Here is a 15380-nt window from a genome sequence, read left to right on the forward strand (position 1 = left end):
GGCAGAGGAGGTGGGATAATGTGACCAACAGCTAAGCTCCCATCCTTGACACAGGCTTAGGCGGTGATCCGGGCTGAGACAAGGATTGGTGAGTTACCTTAGAGAAGCCTCTTCTAAATGCTCAGACTCACTGCCAACTGGAAGGATTTGACTTTGAATACTTCTGGAATCCTCCCCTCCTTGTTCTTGATTAACCATTGAGATGACAGTGTAGATTTGAGGGAGAGGTGGCTCTGATTCTGCTTAAACCAGAGACAACTGAAAGTGATATTGGTGTTCTCAAATATCAATCAGTTAATCGATTCGTTCATTGAGTCACTGATTCATTCATTCATGTGTCAGGCACTGTTCCAAGCAGTCGAGATGCAGAGACAAAATAGCAAAATCAGGACAGTGGATTCTTACTTGGGATTTAGTGGTCTGTGGATCCTCTGATAGGGTAAGTGAAATCCAAGTATGTGCTTTTCCAGAGAAAAGATGTGTCGCTCTGGTCAGATTCTCAGAAGTTTAGAAGCTGCTAGTTCTTGGGAAATAAAGTTCTTGCGGTTAAAATATACAATCTATTAATTCAATCAGAGTGCAGTGGGGAGGTAGTGGGATGCGCAGGTGAACATCTGAAATTCCAAAGGGGGCCAAAGATGACCAAACCTCACAGCAGCTGGACACAAGCAGCAGCAACAATTTCTCTGGGGTGTTTATGATGGCATTTTAAAAAAATGTTTGCCTGATGCCTGAGAATGGAAATGTGAATGCAAATCTTCTGGGAGACAAGAAGAGGACCAACCTATGGAGAGAGAAGTCTGAATGGAGAGGATATGCCTTAAGGCTCCTGAGGAGTCTGCAAGTATTTTGGGAAGACAATGTAAATATTCTTTTTTCCCCATCATCATCACACCTTCTTTAGCAGAGAGATTTATAGTATTCTTTGCAATCATTGTCTTGACTCCCAAGGCTGAAAATGTTACCCAACCTGTGGATGCCGGTGGCACCTAATTTAATGTTTAGTAATTATCTACTAATCCATTTCCTGTCTGGAGGACAGAAACTGTGTCTCATTCACCAATAAAAAGCGATCATAGCAATAGATACTGGGTATTTCCAGTACCCTAAACCCTGCCTGGATGTCTTAGGCCTTTCAGGATGGTCCCTACACCCCACCCCTTGGCACCTCCCTTCAGGAGATGGTACGGCATCTTATTTCTTCACTCCTTGAATATGGGCTGGCTTTGTGACTTGTTTTGACCAATAGAATGTGGCAGAAGTGACAGGGTGCATATTTTAGAGCTTAAGTCTCAAGAGGCCTTGCAATTTCTGCCTTTTTCCTCTGGAAAAAGGGAGATACCCTGCCCAGGCTATCCTGCTGTAGAGACCGCCTAGGGAGACAGAGCCTGGAGGGCGAGAGAGCATGACGGAAGAGATCCACAGCCACACAGAGGCCTTTCTGGTCACTGGAGCCGGGCCACTAGGCACATGTAGATGTGACGTGATCTTGTGTCCCCTAATTCGGGTTGGTCTGTCCCACCAACACCACGTGGAGCAGACACAAACTGTTCCCACTAAGATTTGCCAAAATTGCAGAATGGTGACCAAACAAAGGTTATGGATGCTTCAAGCCTCTAAGTTTTGAAGTCATTTGGCATAGAGCAACAGATAATTGATATGGTGGCAGGTAACTACCACTCAACAAATATGTATAGATGAATAAATGAGTGAATCAACCTGGCCTCAGCTCTGAAGAGATACAGATTATCTGCTGAGGATCTCTGGTCTATTACATGTACTTGGTAACCTCTCGTATGACCAAGAGGAGCTAATGTAAATACTTGGACCAATTTGCCCTGTGCTGATTGTCTTTATATTAGTGATCCCTGGTGGATATTTAGAAAATTCCTTTCTGCTTGACAGACAAGACAGCAAACACACAGTTTTAGGGCAGTGAAGTAAGTGCTATGGACAAAAGAGTGTGCATGGCTCCAGGGGATTGTAGTGGAGGAAGCTTATGGCTGCCTAGAGTGGTCAAGGAAGTCTTCCAAGGGGAGGAGTTGTGAGTTGAGAGGATTTTCTTCAACATCTGGAGCTGCAGAGGGAGCCTTCCAAGCAGTAGAATGAAATGTACAAAGACACATCAGCTGGGGAAGTTTTGCAGTGTACATGTACCAGGAGTGGCTTCTGGACTGTTTTTCACTAGACCTTACTGACTAGTCTGAGATATCCCATGTATGTGAGGGGTGGTGGATGGGGCAGCTGGATGGAGGTGATGCTGGGGTGGGGGTGGACAGGGACCTGAGCATAAGCATCCTTGTTGGCCCCTAAGAGTGGAACTTTTCCCTAAAGACTCAGGAAACCCTTGAAGGATTTTAAGAAGTTTGATGTGATCTTATAAGGGCAGCCCTCAGCTTTTGAGATTTCAAGGGACCAGAGCAGCTTTCCAAGTCTTGGACTTTGATCCCACATGGCTCTGCTTTCTGTTTGCTGCTGGCTGCCATGCAAAAAGGGCATTATCTTCAGGCAACAGCATGTCCTCAGTCTATCCTTTTTCCACTATGCTTAGAAATCTTCAGGGGGTAAGTGCTACGATGAGAACAACTGCTAATTCATTAAATCATTAACTTGTTCTTCAGTCATTGATATGGGTAACAGACTCCTGAAATAGCATTTTCCTTATGAAACTAGTGACAAAGATGTGTTTCTTGGCCAAACTTTAGTCAGGCTCCTGAACCTTCTCCTAGGCTCATCTATGCACTTTCTAGTAAAATCCATTTTTAGCAAATAACTGCTGAGTCACTTTGGCAAGAATTCCCCATCCTCGATACCTGATCAGCCTTGATATCTGATCAGATTCCTCACCCTCTACTGTGTCCTCTGTGATGTCTGATCACCCTGTACCATCTTCAGCAAGAATCCTCTTAGGTCAAAATTGAGCCAGAATCCTTCTTTCCCCTGATGTGTCCTCTTAGTAATTTTTCATCCACTGGCTCCCCTCCCACTTCTCCCCAGGGCTCCTTGGCTATAGATTCCCACTTGCCCATGCTGTATTTGGAGTTGAGTGCAACCTCTCTGTACTGCAAAATCCCATTGCCATAGTTGCTGTGCCTATTTGTGATGGTCTTGAATAAAGTCTTCCTCACCATGTTTCACAAGTATCATTGAAAATTTTTTTCTTTAACGCTAGACAGCCAATGTATAGTGCTTTGAGTCTCTCTGAATATCCCTTCACACTGATAATGAACATACAGAAAGTAGAGTCTCAAGTTAAAGGCGTGTTTTCAGAAATAATTGGAAAATGTTTCTGAGTTAGCAAATTGTGATTTTCTGCAGTCAGTTTCTGAGGTCACAGAACAAAATATTAGGGAACTTCTCTGAGTGCCATAGATACTATTCTGCTTCAGAAGGTATTAGACTTCAGAAGCCAGAGAAAGTTTGTGTATCCCTCCGATCCCTGGGATTTATGACATTCTTAATCAGGAAGAAGGATCTGTAAGATTTCTTCCAATTTCAAATGAAGGCAAAATTTATGAGTGGTCAGATGAATAGGCCATCTCTTTCTGGAGACAATTTCATTTCCAGCCTTCATTCAGAGTTAGGATTGATTTATCCCTTTGGTTAGGTGCCAAATGGTCAGCCCTGAGCAAAGGTAGATGTGAGATGTTTATTAGACTGGAGCATGAGCCTGATGGTGTTCTGCTCCCAGTGGGCGCCATGGTCCTGTCCACCCACCAAACCAAGGGCAGGCTGCACAGAGTTGCACTCAGAGCAATGGCAGTCCCAAACTAATAAAAAGTGTAAAGCAGTTTAATCTCAGTCTCACTCACAGCAGAAGTTTTGAATCTGCTTTTTTCATCTTTTGTACATAAATTTTACTGCCATGTGCCACCCCCAGCCTCTGCTTTCCTCTAAATTCCCCATAAAACTCTCTCTAAATGGGAGCACAACAGCCTCTCACTTTTTTCCCCCTTTCCCCATTTCTCTTTGAGTTTAGTTCTTCATTATATTAATCAAAATTATCCCCCTTCCCTCATTATCTGTACTGAGCCAAAAAAGAGGCAGGGATAAATTTGACCGGAATTCCTCCTCCTTCAACAAGAGGATATGGGGATGGTCAGGGGAATGCTGAGTTCTGAGCACTGGCCTCATGAAGCCTTGCTTCTCACATGCTCTCCGAAAATCCTGACATGGACACAAGAACTGGCCCAAACAAGCCTACAGGAGATGAAGATGGTGGGAAGCAGAAAGGAGCCATCCCGCCACGGCCATCCTTGACCAGCCAGACCAGCCTCCACGCTAGCTGGCTACCAACACAGGAGCAAGCCCAGGAAAACTTAGCCAAGCCTGGTCCAGATCAGCAGAGCCACCCAGGCTTCCTACAGAACTGTGAGAATTAATACATGTCTATTGTTTTAAGCTGCTGAGTTTGGGGCGGGTGGTTGCTACAGAGCAATATTGTGGTGATAGATAGCCAGTGCTATCTATCTACTCTCTTAAATCCATCATGATTCAGGCCAGTGTCTAACTTGAATCTCACCTCTTTCCAAGTGGATATCTTTGACTCCTCCAGGCTACCATGATTTTCCTCTCAGACAAATGTCTTCACCAAACAATCAGGTATCAATCTTAGTTTTTCTCTTATAACGTTTTCTGTTTTTTCTCTTGTGTGCCAAAGAGTCACTGTATTATCTCATCACTCTGCCCCCACCAAGATAATGTTCCACTCTAACGTCTCATTTAGCCCACAGGAAAAAATAAATTTTGAACGTCTACATAAAATTAATCATATCTATTTTGAAACCTAACTCAGACATTTTGTTCTGTCTCAGTGGAATCTGTCAAAACAAAAACCAATGAAATAATTGAGTGGTATTAAGGGGGAAAGTAGCTGGCAAGGTTAAATGGTACTAATCCACCCTCTATACATTTTAAGCCTTTTTGTCTGGGAAAATCTGCCTTTTCTACTGGACTGTAAGCTTCCTGAGGTCAGCATCCATATCCTGCATCCCTCCTAAGCCCTCACTGACCACCAACAATTGCTAGTTCTTGGTTATAGATGACTGTCAATTACATGCTTGATGGATCCTTTAAAAAAGGTAACCAGCTAACCATTTCTTCTAATTGATGGGTATTTTGCAATCCTTGCCTGCCTCGTCCTCTTCCCCTCATTTCTCCTTGATTACTGCCAGGGAAAATTCCTCCATCCCAACCCCAGGGAGTCTGTTTCATTTCCTAATTACTTTCCCTGCCGAGAACTTTCTTGTCTTGCTGTATCTAACCCAAATTCCCCCTTCTGTAGCTTCAGGCCATTGCACCTTAGTCTTAATCCTCTGGAAGGAAGAGTAATTCCCTTGATTAATTTATATTGTAATCTCAAAGCTGTTTATACATCACAATTTCTGCTTTCCCTGGAGTCTCTTGTTGCTAGATTAGAGGAATAAGATTTCTTTTTTCATTTTTCCTCTATACCTAATTTTTTTGGCTTACAGACCTCTCAGATCTTTCTAGGTGCTGCAGTTAGATATCTTTCTTTCCAGGCTGATGTATCAGAATTGCTTCTCGTTTATTGAATATTTACTCCATGTGTTAGGCACTGGGCTAAGCATTTTTACACACATTATGTTGTTTGACTCTCAGAATGAGACAAGTGTTGTTATTAACCCTATTTAATAGATGAAGAAATGGAAGCCTGGGAAGGTTGAGTCACATCCACACAGCACAATAAATTCATACAGCTGATTATTGGCAGAATTGGGGCTTGAGCATCTGTCTTTCCATTCTCAGTGTAAGTTCTTAACTATTGTTCTATACTTTCTTTAAATATATTATGTTGTCTTCTCAATGATTCTCACCAGGTTACCTAAATGACACCATGTTCTTCTCTTTGGATATCCCTTTGGTTACAGAAATAAGTGCCTTCAAACAGTTAAAGAATATGGGTTTGAGTATCAGTTTTGAGCACCTATTTTCTCTGTGACCTTGGACAGGTTATTTTCTAATCTGTGAAATGAGAGGGAAATCATGTATATTACGATTTCAAATGAGATAACTATGAAGCACTATACTATTAGAATGGATTTTATTTGTTGGAATTATTTATTTTTGTAACAATTAATTATTTATTTTTATCACTAATTTTGAGAGTGAGAAATAGGGGAGTGGGGAACTTGATAAATCCAGAAATATAAAAATAGCCAATAATTATATGGTGTGGCAGCCTAGTCTGGATTTGGAATTTGGAATTCTACCCTTGACTTTTATCTCTGGTACTTATATGAGTCTGGGTGTTATGGACTGAACTGTGTCTTTCAAAAATTCTTATGTTGAAGCCCTAGCAGTGAGTGTGATTGTATTTGGAGATAGGGCTTTTAGGAGGTAGTAAAGGATAAATGAAGCCATAAGGTAAAGTCCTAATCCTATAGGACTGGTGACTTTATAAGAAGAGGAAGAGAGAGTGATCTTCATGCGCACACACAGAGGGCCAGGCCACGTGAGGACACAGAGAGCAGGTGGCCATCTAAAACCCGAGGAGAGAGCCCTCACCAGATAGTGACCCTGCTGACACTTTGATGTGGTACTTCTGGCTTCCTGAACTGTGGGAAAATGGATTTATGTTGTTTAAGCCACACACTCCATGGTATTTGGTAATGGAAGTCTGATCAGCCTAATACACTGAGTCAGTCACTGATTGCATTATGGTCAATTCATGGTATCCCACTAGAATCTTCCCTTGTTGTCAGTGAAGGCATAAACTCCATTTGCAGAGGCGTTTTGTCTGCTTCCCGAGACTTCCTTTCCCATAAGGAATGGTGAAATGATCTTGAGTGAATCATCAAGGGAAGGACCATCTCTCAAGATGAGTCTTCGCATGTGGTGCAGCCCTGCAGGGAATCTTCAGCCTTCCTACCCCATGGGGAGATTCTCCCTTCCTTTTCAGTGTTGGGAAATCAGGGTATTTTTGTTGTTTATTTTTTTATTGATTTTAAAGGAGCCAGTGAGTTCTTTAAAAACACTTCAGTTCTCTCATCTTCAAGGTAACAATGAAGTCACTTACCTATTACTTAGGCAGGATAGTAGAAGTGAATGAGCATTGTACTAGCTGTGATTCTTTAGCCGAGATGCTTAACCCTTCTAAGCCTGTTTTCTTTTTCTGTAAGATGAGTTCTGTTAGACCAGATGACAGGTTGGAAAGAAAATGCCTATCTAGACAGGTATCAAGGGTGACTGCAGAAACTGGAGCTTACCTCCCCAAGGGGAGCCACTGCTCACCTCCTGTCAGTTGGTGACCTGTGGAATGCACACACTTGGGATTGCCAGATTTCAGATTTTTCAAAACAAAGTTAGGGATCAGATTTCTTTGTGACATTCCTTGTTTTTTAAATATGGGAAACAGAATTACATTTTATGAAGACTGTGAGCAAGATGAAGCTGGATAGTCCAAGCAGAAGACCTAGGATGTTACTGCTGGGTGAATGGGGTAAAGCAGGGCTTTAAGACGTGCACATGAATTCTCCCTTGTTGACAGGTGGGATTGTGAATGAGCTCTCAGGTGATGCAATGCTGCTACTTAGAGTAGCAAGGCAGCTAGATGATCTCTGGAGTAGGTTTCCTTCACCTCTAACAGCTGGCGATGATATTGGAATTCTTAAACTTCATAAGACTAACCTACATTGGACATGCATCTTTTTTTTTTATTTTTATTGATCATTCTTGGGTGTTTCTCACAGAGGGGGATTTGGCAGGGTCATAGGACAATAGTGGAGGGACGGTCAGCAGATAAACAAGTGAACAAAGGTCTCTGGTTTTCCTAGGCAGAGGACCCTGAGGCCTTCCGCAGTGTTTGTGTCCCTGGGTACTTGAGATTAGGGAGTGGTGATGACTCTTAACGAGCATGCTGCCTTCAAGCATCTGTTTAACAAAGCACATCTTGCACCGCCCTTAATCCATTTAACCCTGAGTGGACACAGCACATGTTTCAGAGAGCACAGGGTTGGGGGGTAAGGTCACAGATCAACAGGATCCCAAGGCAGAAGAATTTTTCTTAGTACAGAACAAAATGAAAAGTCTCCCATGTCTACTTCTTTCCACACAGACACGGCAACCATCCGATTTCTCAATCTTTTCCCTACCTTTCCCCCCTTTCTATTCCACAAAACCACCATTGTCATCATGGCCCGTTCTCAATGAGCTGTTGGGCACACCTCCCAGACGGGGTGGTGGCCGGGCAGAGGGGCTCCTTACTTCCCAGTAGGGGCGGCCGGGCAGAGGCGCCCCTCACCTCCCGGACGGGGCGGCTGGCCGAGCGGGGGGCTGACCCCCCCACCTCCCTCCCGGATGGGGCGGCTGGCCAGGCGGGGGGCTGACCCCCCCCACCTCCCTCCTGGACGGGGCGGCTGGCCGGGCGGGGGGCTGACCCCCCCACCTCCCTCCCGGACGGGGCGGCTGGCCGGGCAGAGGGGCTCCTCACTTCCCAGTAGGGGCGGCCGGGCAGAGGCGCCCCTCACCTCCCGGACGAGGCGGCTGGTGGGCTGACCCCCCCACCTCCCTCCCGGTCGGGGCGGCTGGCCGGTGGCGGGGGCTGACCCCCCCCACCTCCCTCCCGGACGGGGCGGCTGGCCGGGCGGGGGGCTGACCCCCCCACCTCCCTCCCGGATGGGGCGGCTGCCGGGCGGAGGGGCTCCTCACTTCTCAGACGGGGAGGTTGCCAGGCGGAGGGTCTCCTCCCTTCTCAGATGGGGCGGCTGGGCAGAGGCGCTCCTCACCTCCCAGACGGGGTCGTGGCCGGGCAGAGGCGCTCCTCACATCCCGGACGGGGCGGCGGGGCAAAGGCGCTCCCCACATCTCAGACGATGGGCGGCCGGGCAGAGACGCTCCTCACTTCCTAGATGGGATGGCGGCCGGGAAGAGGCGCTCCTCACTTCCTAGATGGGATGGCGGCTGGGCAGAGACGCTCCTCACTTTCCAGACTGGGCAGCCAGGCAGAGGGGCTCCTCACATCCCAGACGATGGGCGGCCAGGCAGAGACGCTCCTCACTTCCTAGATGGGGTGGCGGCCGGGCAGAGGCTGCACTCTAGGCACTTTGGGAGGCCAAGGCAGGCGGCTGGGAGGTGGAGGTTGTAGCGAGCCGAGATCACACCACTGCACTCCAGCCTGGGCACCATTGAGCACTGAGTGAACCAGACACCATCTGCAATCCCGGCACCTCCGGAGGCCAAGGCTGGCGGATCACTCGCGGTTAGGAGCTGGAGACCGGCCCGGCCAACACAACGAAACCCCATCTCCACCAAAAAAATACGAAAACCAGTCAGGCGTGGTGGCGCGCGCCTGCAATCGCAGGCACTCGGCAGGCTGAGGCAGGAGAATCAGGCAGGGAGGTTGCAGTGAGCCGAGATGGCAGCAGTACAGTCCAGCTTCGGCTCGGCATCAGAGGGAGACCGTGGAAAGAGAGGGAGAGGGAGACTGTGGGGAGAGGGAGACCATGGGGAGAGGGAGAGGGAGAGGGAGAGACATGCATCTTAAAGTCTGTTCTTCACCCACCTAGACCTGCATTCCTCTTGTCTCTGTCCCTCTGTGTCACACCTCTATCACACTAACATCCTGAATTCCATTTGACCTTAAAGTAATTATAGTCTCTTTGGGTCATTTTGGATGCTTGGCATTGCTGGATATTACAGATGACATATATGATATAGAGGCATCCCAGGTTTTTCCAGGATGATTGCATGGGAGCTATCATAGGATGATATGAGAAGAGCAGAGATTGCAAAATGGGAAAACTGAACATAGAATAAGAAATGATGGTCACAATTTCAGACTCAGGTTTTAGGTTTTTCCTGATAAGACCCTCATAAATTAGATTGTTCTGGTGATAGGGGCAGGAATTTATTCACTCAGCCACTTAATAAGAATTTATTCTTTGCGTGTGATGTGCCAGGTAGTGTTCTTCTGGGTAGGGATGTAACAGAAAGCAAGGCAAAATTCCCTTTTCTAATGGAGCTACATTCCAGTGAGAGAAACAGATAAGAAACCAGGAAACAAACAAATAAGTAATATAATGTCAGACAGTAATGAATGCTGTGAAGAAAAAAAAATATCAAGGTTAGGGGATAGAGTTTGCTGTTGGAGGAGTGGGAGCTTCTCTGAGTGGTCACGGAAGGTGTCACCAGGCAATGTGAAATTCCACTTCATGGTATCCAGATTTTTCATGGTCTGGCTCTAGCCTCACCTTCCACTATCTACCTTATAGTTCGTGACTCAGAAAAGCTGAGCCTCGATCTGTTTTTCCTTCCTGTGCTTCTTCTGTCTGGCTGTTCCTTCTATCTGAACTGTCTTCCTTCCCTCATCTGGTTAGCTCCTAATAATCCCTGTAGGCTCCACTTGGGTGTCTCTTCTGCTTAAAGCATGCCCTGAGCTGCCCATTACACCCCGTCCCTCACTGGGACTGCCAGTGGTTATCCTTTAACCTCAGCAATCCGCTAATGCCTTCTGCACTACTTTTCATTGCATTCTCAGTTTCTATTCAGTTGTCTCTATCAATTGGAACAGACCAGCTCAAAGGGGTTTAAATAATGGGCAAAAAATCTAGACTCTTGTTGCTGGGATTGCACAGGTTGATTGGGCTGCAGGGCTGACCTAATCTGGGTGCTTCTGCTGAGTTTCTCTGTGATTCTCTTGCCCTGCCATCCTCTAGGTGCTGGCTTCATCTCCAAGTTGGCTGTAATGATTTTACTACATCCAGTGGCCAGAGAAAGAGACAGCAGACTTTCCCTCTTTATCTCATTGAACTCTTAGAGGTCATGTGGCTGCTTCTGAGTCAGTCTTTTAATTGGGAAGGCTGGGTGCTGACCCTCTCAGGCCTGGGTTCCTGCACTAATCCCTGGCAAGGCTAAGGGGTTCCCCTTAGAACTGTCATGCACAATCTTCAAGCCAGGAATGGGGTCACCTTGTCCTTGGACCCATAAGTGGCAGAAGGCAGATAACTGAACAAGAGCAGGGGTCTGTTAAGAAGGAGGAAGGGGCTACAGATGCTGAGTAAGCTGTCAACGGTCTTTGCTATGTTTGAGTCCACCATTAGATGAATCTCCTTGAGGACAGTAATACTGCCTTTTTCATCTCTGTACTCCCAATACTTGGCACAGTGTCTAACATATAGCAGGCATTCAAGAAAAACCTGTTGAATGACTAAGTTATAAGGATATTAAAATATAAGTTAGTTAGAAGGAAGACAACCTTAAGAGAAAAGCCACATTTTGGCCAAATGAAGAAAATCCATGTATATTTCGCAGCACTTTATCCCTACCTCATGGCTAACCCTACCCTTTGTTATTCCAGATGATGCATGTGCTTCTAACTGTAGAAATGTCCTTGTCAATCACTAAAATTAAGTAAGTATCTAGTGGACAAAGGTTTGAAGGACAATAAGTCATTGAAAAATGTAGACTGATCGGCAAGTAGTGGACAGCATATGAAGCCGTGGCCTCCACCTCCTGGTGGGTGCTGTTGATGGCCATAGATCAAACTAAATGCTGCAGGCAGAGATTCACTGAGTTCAGATACTATCCAAATGTTCTGAAACCATTGGGTGAATGATCCCTGGAAATTTTAATCACCGTATTGAAAGTCCTTCAGGGAACAACAACATTTAGACTAAATATGACTTCTGGCACTCTGCCACATTACGCAGGTCTGCAGGATGATGGTGGGAATCTGCACTGACCTCTTCTAGTCAGTCACTTTCCTGTATGTGCAACTTTTGGTGACAAGATGCATGAACCCAACTGGAACCAGCTGAAGATTATGGAGTTGCTCTCAGCGTCCACTAAAAGCCAGAATCCAGGCTTTGGGAAGGAAAGGCAAATCCAGCACCTCGAAAACTAGACTGAGAGACCTGAACTCCACCAAGATTTACTCGCTGTCACTCTTGGCTTTTCTCTGTTTTTGGAGCGCTGATCTCTCCCAGTTTCTACAGATGATGTTGCAGCTCTTTGCTTTGCTTCTTCTGAACTTGGTCTCCAGAGGCAAACGCTCACAGGAAATATTGTGATTGGCACAAACTTGGGTGACACCCACACAATTTGGACCAATTAGTGGCCATGAGCTCAGGTCCAATTATTGGGCCAGCTTGGGTTAGAGATCTTCTCTCAGACCAGTGACACACCAGTGTTTAATATGCTAAGTTCATGCACCTCTCATTTGCAGCAAGTGTGCCCAGACCTTGGAATCTCTTAGCTGTGTGATCTTGGACAAGTTATTTAACTCTTTGTGACCAAGGTCGCTTATCTGCAAGTGAAAATAATAATATTATATGGACATTGTTGTGTATGTGTGTGTGTATATATATATATATATATATATATATATATATATATATATATATATATATAAAAAATATGTATGAATGGATAATGTTCATTAGCTCTCACAATGTCACAATGTCCATATCGTTATTATTCCCATTGTTTAGAACAGTGCCTGAGACATAGTAAGTGCTGTATAAGTTGTAGCTTACCAATTAGCTATTAACTGGGTCAGACCCGGAAAGAGTGTTTCACCAAAAGAAGCGTGGGCCTTAGGTTGCTGCTTGACCTTGCCTATTTCTCCTAATGATAATGTTGAAATTGTGGCCCAGATGAGTGGCCCTGTCTATTAGACTCAGCTGCTTGCTACTGGATTCCCCTGATGCTGGCCATATTTAAATACAGAAAGACCCAATCCTGGGTCATCTAAACCACTCTGAAAGGGCATTGCCAATCCTTCTGACCAAGGTCAAGGTTGGCATGTGGGGCCTGTGCCTGCATGGGGGGCCAAATGCCCTCTTGATTCTTCATGTCATTGCATTCATGGGCTCAAAAATGCAAGCCTTGGCTTCAGTGCAGTTCCTCATTCTCCAGAATGATGCATCAGTGTGTACTCTGAAAGGCCTTGTTGCCACCTGTCCCTGGCCTGAAGGGTCAAGATTAAGGACACCATGAAAAATATCTTGTTATGTTTAGTTTGTGTTTGACTTGGGAAATCTATAATTAGGATCACCTAGCATTATCCAGAAGAGTTATTCATGCCTTATAAACACTACCAACAGAATTAGAAGAACAAGTTTGGTCAGCAAGCACACATTAAAACATGATGTCTTTGGTTGATAGAAAAATCTGACAAATCCTATTTCTATTTTCCAAAAGAGTGAGCAGTCTTATGAGAGAGTCTTTTGGATCAGAAGCCTGTGTGTCTTTAAAAACATATATGGAACTGTGGCACCCCTGAGCTTACAAAATCTCCAGTGGTTCCCACAGCTCTTAGAATACAATTTGCAGTCCTTATCAGGGGTTATAAGACCCCTGATCTGCATTCTTTAATATGGTGGCCTCTGAACACAAGTCACTATTTAAATTAAATGCAGTTACAATTAAAAGTTTAGTTTGTTATTTTCATTGGCCTCATTTTAGGTGCTGAATAGATGCACCCATATTAGACAGCACAGATATAGAGCATCACTATAATTCCAGAAGTTTCACCATCTTTCATTTTCTCCAGCACACAAAACTTTTTCCCACCATTACACATTTCTCCCTTCTTCCCTCTTCGCCTCTGTAACTCATCCGGTTTCAGGTTAAGTGTTACCTTCTCAGAGAGGCTTTCCTTGATCTCTCCTTCTAAATTGGGTCCCCCAATTAGTCTTTCTCATAGCAGCCTGTCCTTTGCTTTCATGCTACTTAAGATTTATGGTTATGTAGGTATTTTTGTGGGGAATGCCTGACTTCCCCTCTAAGTTGTAAGCTCATGAGGACAGTCAGTGTCAGTACTTTAACCTCACTGTTCAACATATAGCAGGTGCTCAATCAATATTTGTTGAATGAATGCATGATTGCCTGGGTTCTCATATGTGCCACCCCCACATGACACATTCTTTTTGGTTTTCAGAGGAGACAGAAACCTTAATTTTCTCTTTCCACATATATTTTCTTCCTCCCCTTACTCTGCTATAGGTCACACTTAAAATTCCCTTGCAATCTGCTCTTCCAAGCTAGCCCATTAGAGCCTGTCTCTGTGCCATGTCTGTGCCATAACCATGTTAATGGGATGTACAGTTTCCCTGGAAAAAAGGAAGGTATGTTGGCAGAGGAAACTAAACTTTCTTGTTCAAAGTCTATGGTTTATTTTTCATAATACTAATTGACAGGGTAAGCTATTTTATTTTTCCTATATCTATGTAATTAATATGTCCACTTTAGAAATCAATTATCCTTGATAATTACCATTGGTGCTATGGCTATAAACTGAATGCCAGTCTTGCTAACAAACTGAATAAGACATAATTTCTTGTTGTTCAAAGAGATGATAAACTCTAATCAGCAGCAAATTCAATCAAAACTTACTGACATCAATTGAAATCACATTAGACTTTGTAAAAAATAGGATAATTATGCTCGTCTTGTAAGTTGCAGGTATTGTAACAACTCTAAAATGTGGGCCTGTTTGAATAAATGCTTATGTTTGCTGGCTCTACGCAAGCAGATGCAGAAATGTATAATCTGCATAAATAAATCAGGAGATTATTTTTCCCCCTTATAGCTCTTTAGTTCTATGAGATTCAATTAATTCAACTTTTTTTTTTTAATGGGCCCAGGGTAATGAGGTAAGCAGGTGTTAGTGTGTTGGCCACTGAAGCAGGATAGCCCCTGGTACAGATTTGTCACATGGGGTTACTTTTTAAATCTCCCTTGATTATTTAGAGATAAACTTAATAGTGATTAAGATAATGACTCCTGGAGCTATGCTGGCTGGGGTCAAGTCCCAGCTCCACTGCTCAGAACTGTGCGTCTTAGCCAAGTGTAGGGAGGATGTAGGTGCTCTGTCCCGATCCCTCTGAGTCCCTCTTAGTGGATTCACTGGGATGACCCTTACCCAATGACTGAAGAGCACAGGAATACAAAGGGCTCAGTTCTGTCATATTGTGATGTCATAAGAAATATATATTTGGTTTCTGTCCCTGGTTCCTGGCACAAAGCTCATAAAACCCTTGGAATCTCTAGAATGATGAGGGTCTTTTGTATGCTGATGAGATGACTGATGGCTGGGGGTCTCTAGGTAGCTTCAGGATGCGGGCTGGTCACACGAAAGACCCGGGCATGATTAGAGTGATGGGACTTTCAGCCCCATCCCTTTCCCAAACCTCCAGGGAAGGGAGGGGGTTTGAAGGTTCAGTTGATCACCTTTAATCGATCATGCCAATGTAATGAGGCCTCCATGAAAACCCCAAAGGCCCAGGTTCAGAGAGCTTCCTGGTTGCCGAACATGTAGACGTTCCGTGCTCCTTCCCACGTGCTTTGCCCTATCTCTTCATCCGGTTGTTCATCTGTATTGTGTGTGTGTGTGTGAGAAAGAGAAAGTGAGAGAGAGA

At 44.8% G+C, this 15380-nt stretch overlaps 1 long non-coding RNA gene across 2 annotated transcripts in view, besides 1 other annotated feature; it reads left to right on the forward strand.

Moving 5' to 3' along the window:
* The window catches only part of LOC105374505 (uncharacterized), a 190382-nt gene that overhangs the window by 24001 nt on the left and 151001 nt on the right, over positions 1–15380 (forward strand). The gene's annotated exons all lie outside the window — the stretch shown is intronic.
* Positions 7602–8320: an enhancer, noted in NCBI's record as "NANOG-H3K27ac hESC enhancer chr4:16394090-16394808 (GRCh37/hg19 assembly coordinates)". NCBI's record gives its function as "activates a minimal SCP1, AML or CMV promoter by ChIP-STARR-seq in primed H9 embryonic stem cells {active_cell/tissue: H9 hESC(primed)}" and the evidence as "EXISTENCE:reporter gene assay evidence [ECO:0000049][PMID:30033119]".

The sequence above is a fragment of the Homo sapiens genome, chromosome 4 (genome assembly GCF_000001405.40).
Source record: "Homo sapiens chromosome 4, GRCh38.p14 Primary Assembly".
Lineage (NCBI taxonomy): Eukaryota > Metazoa > Chordata > Mammalia > Primates > Hominidae > Homo > Homo sapiens.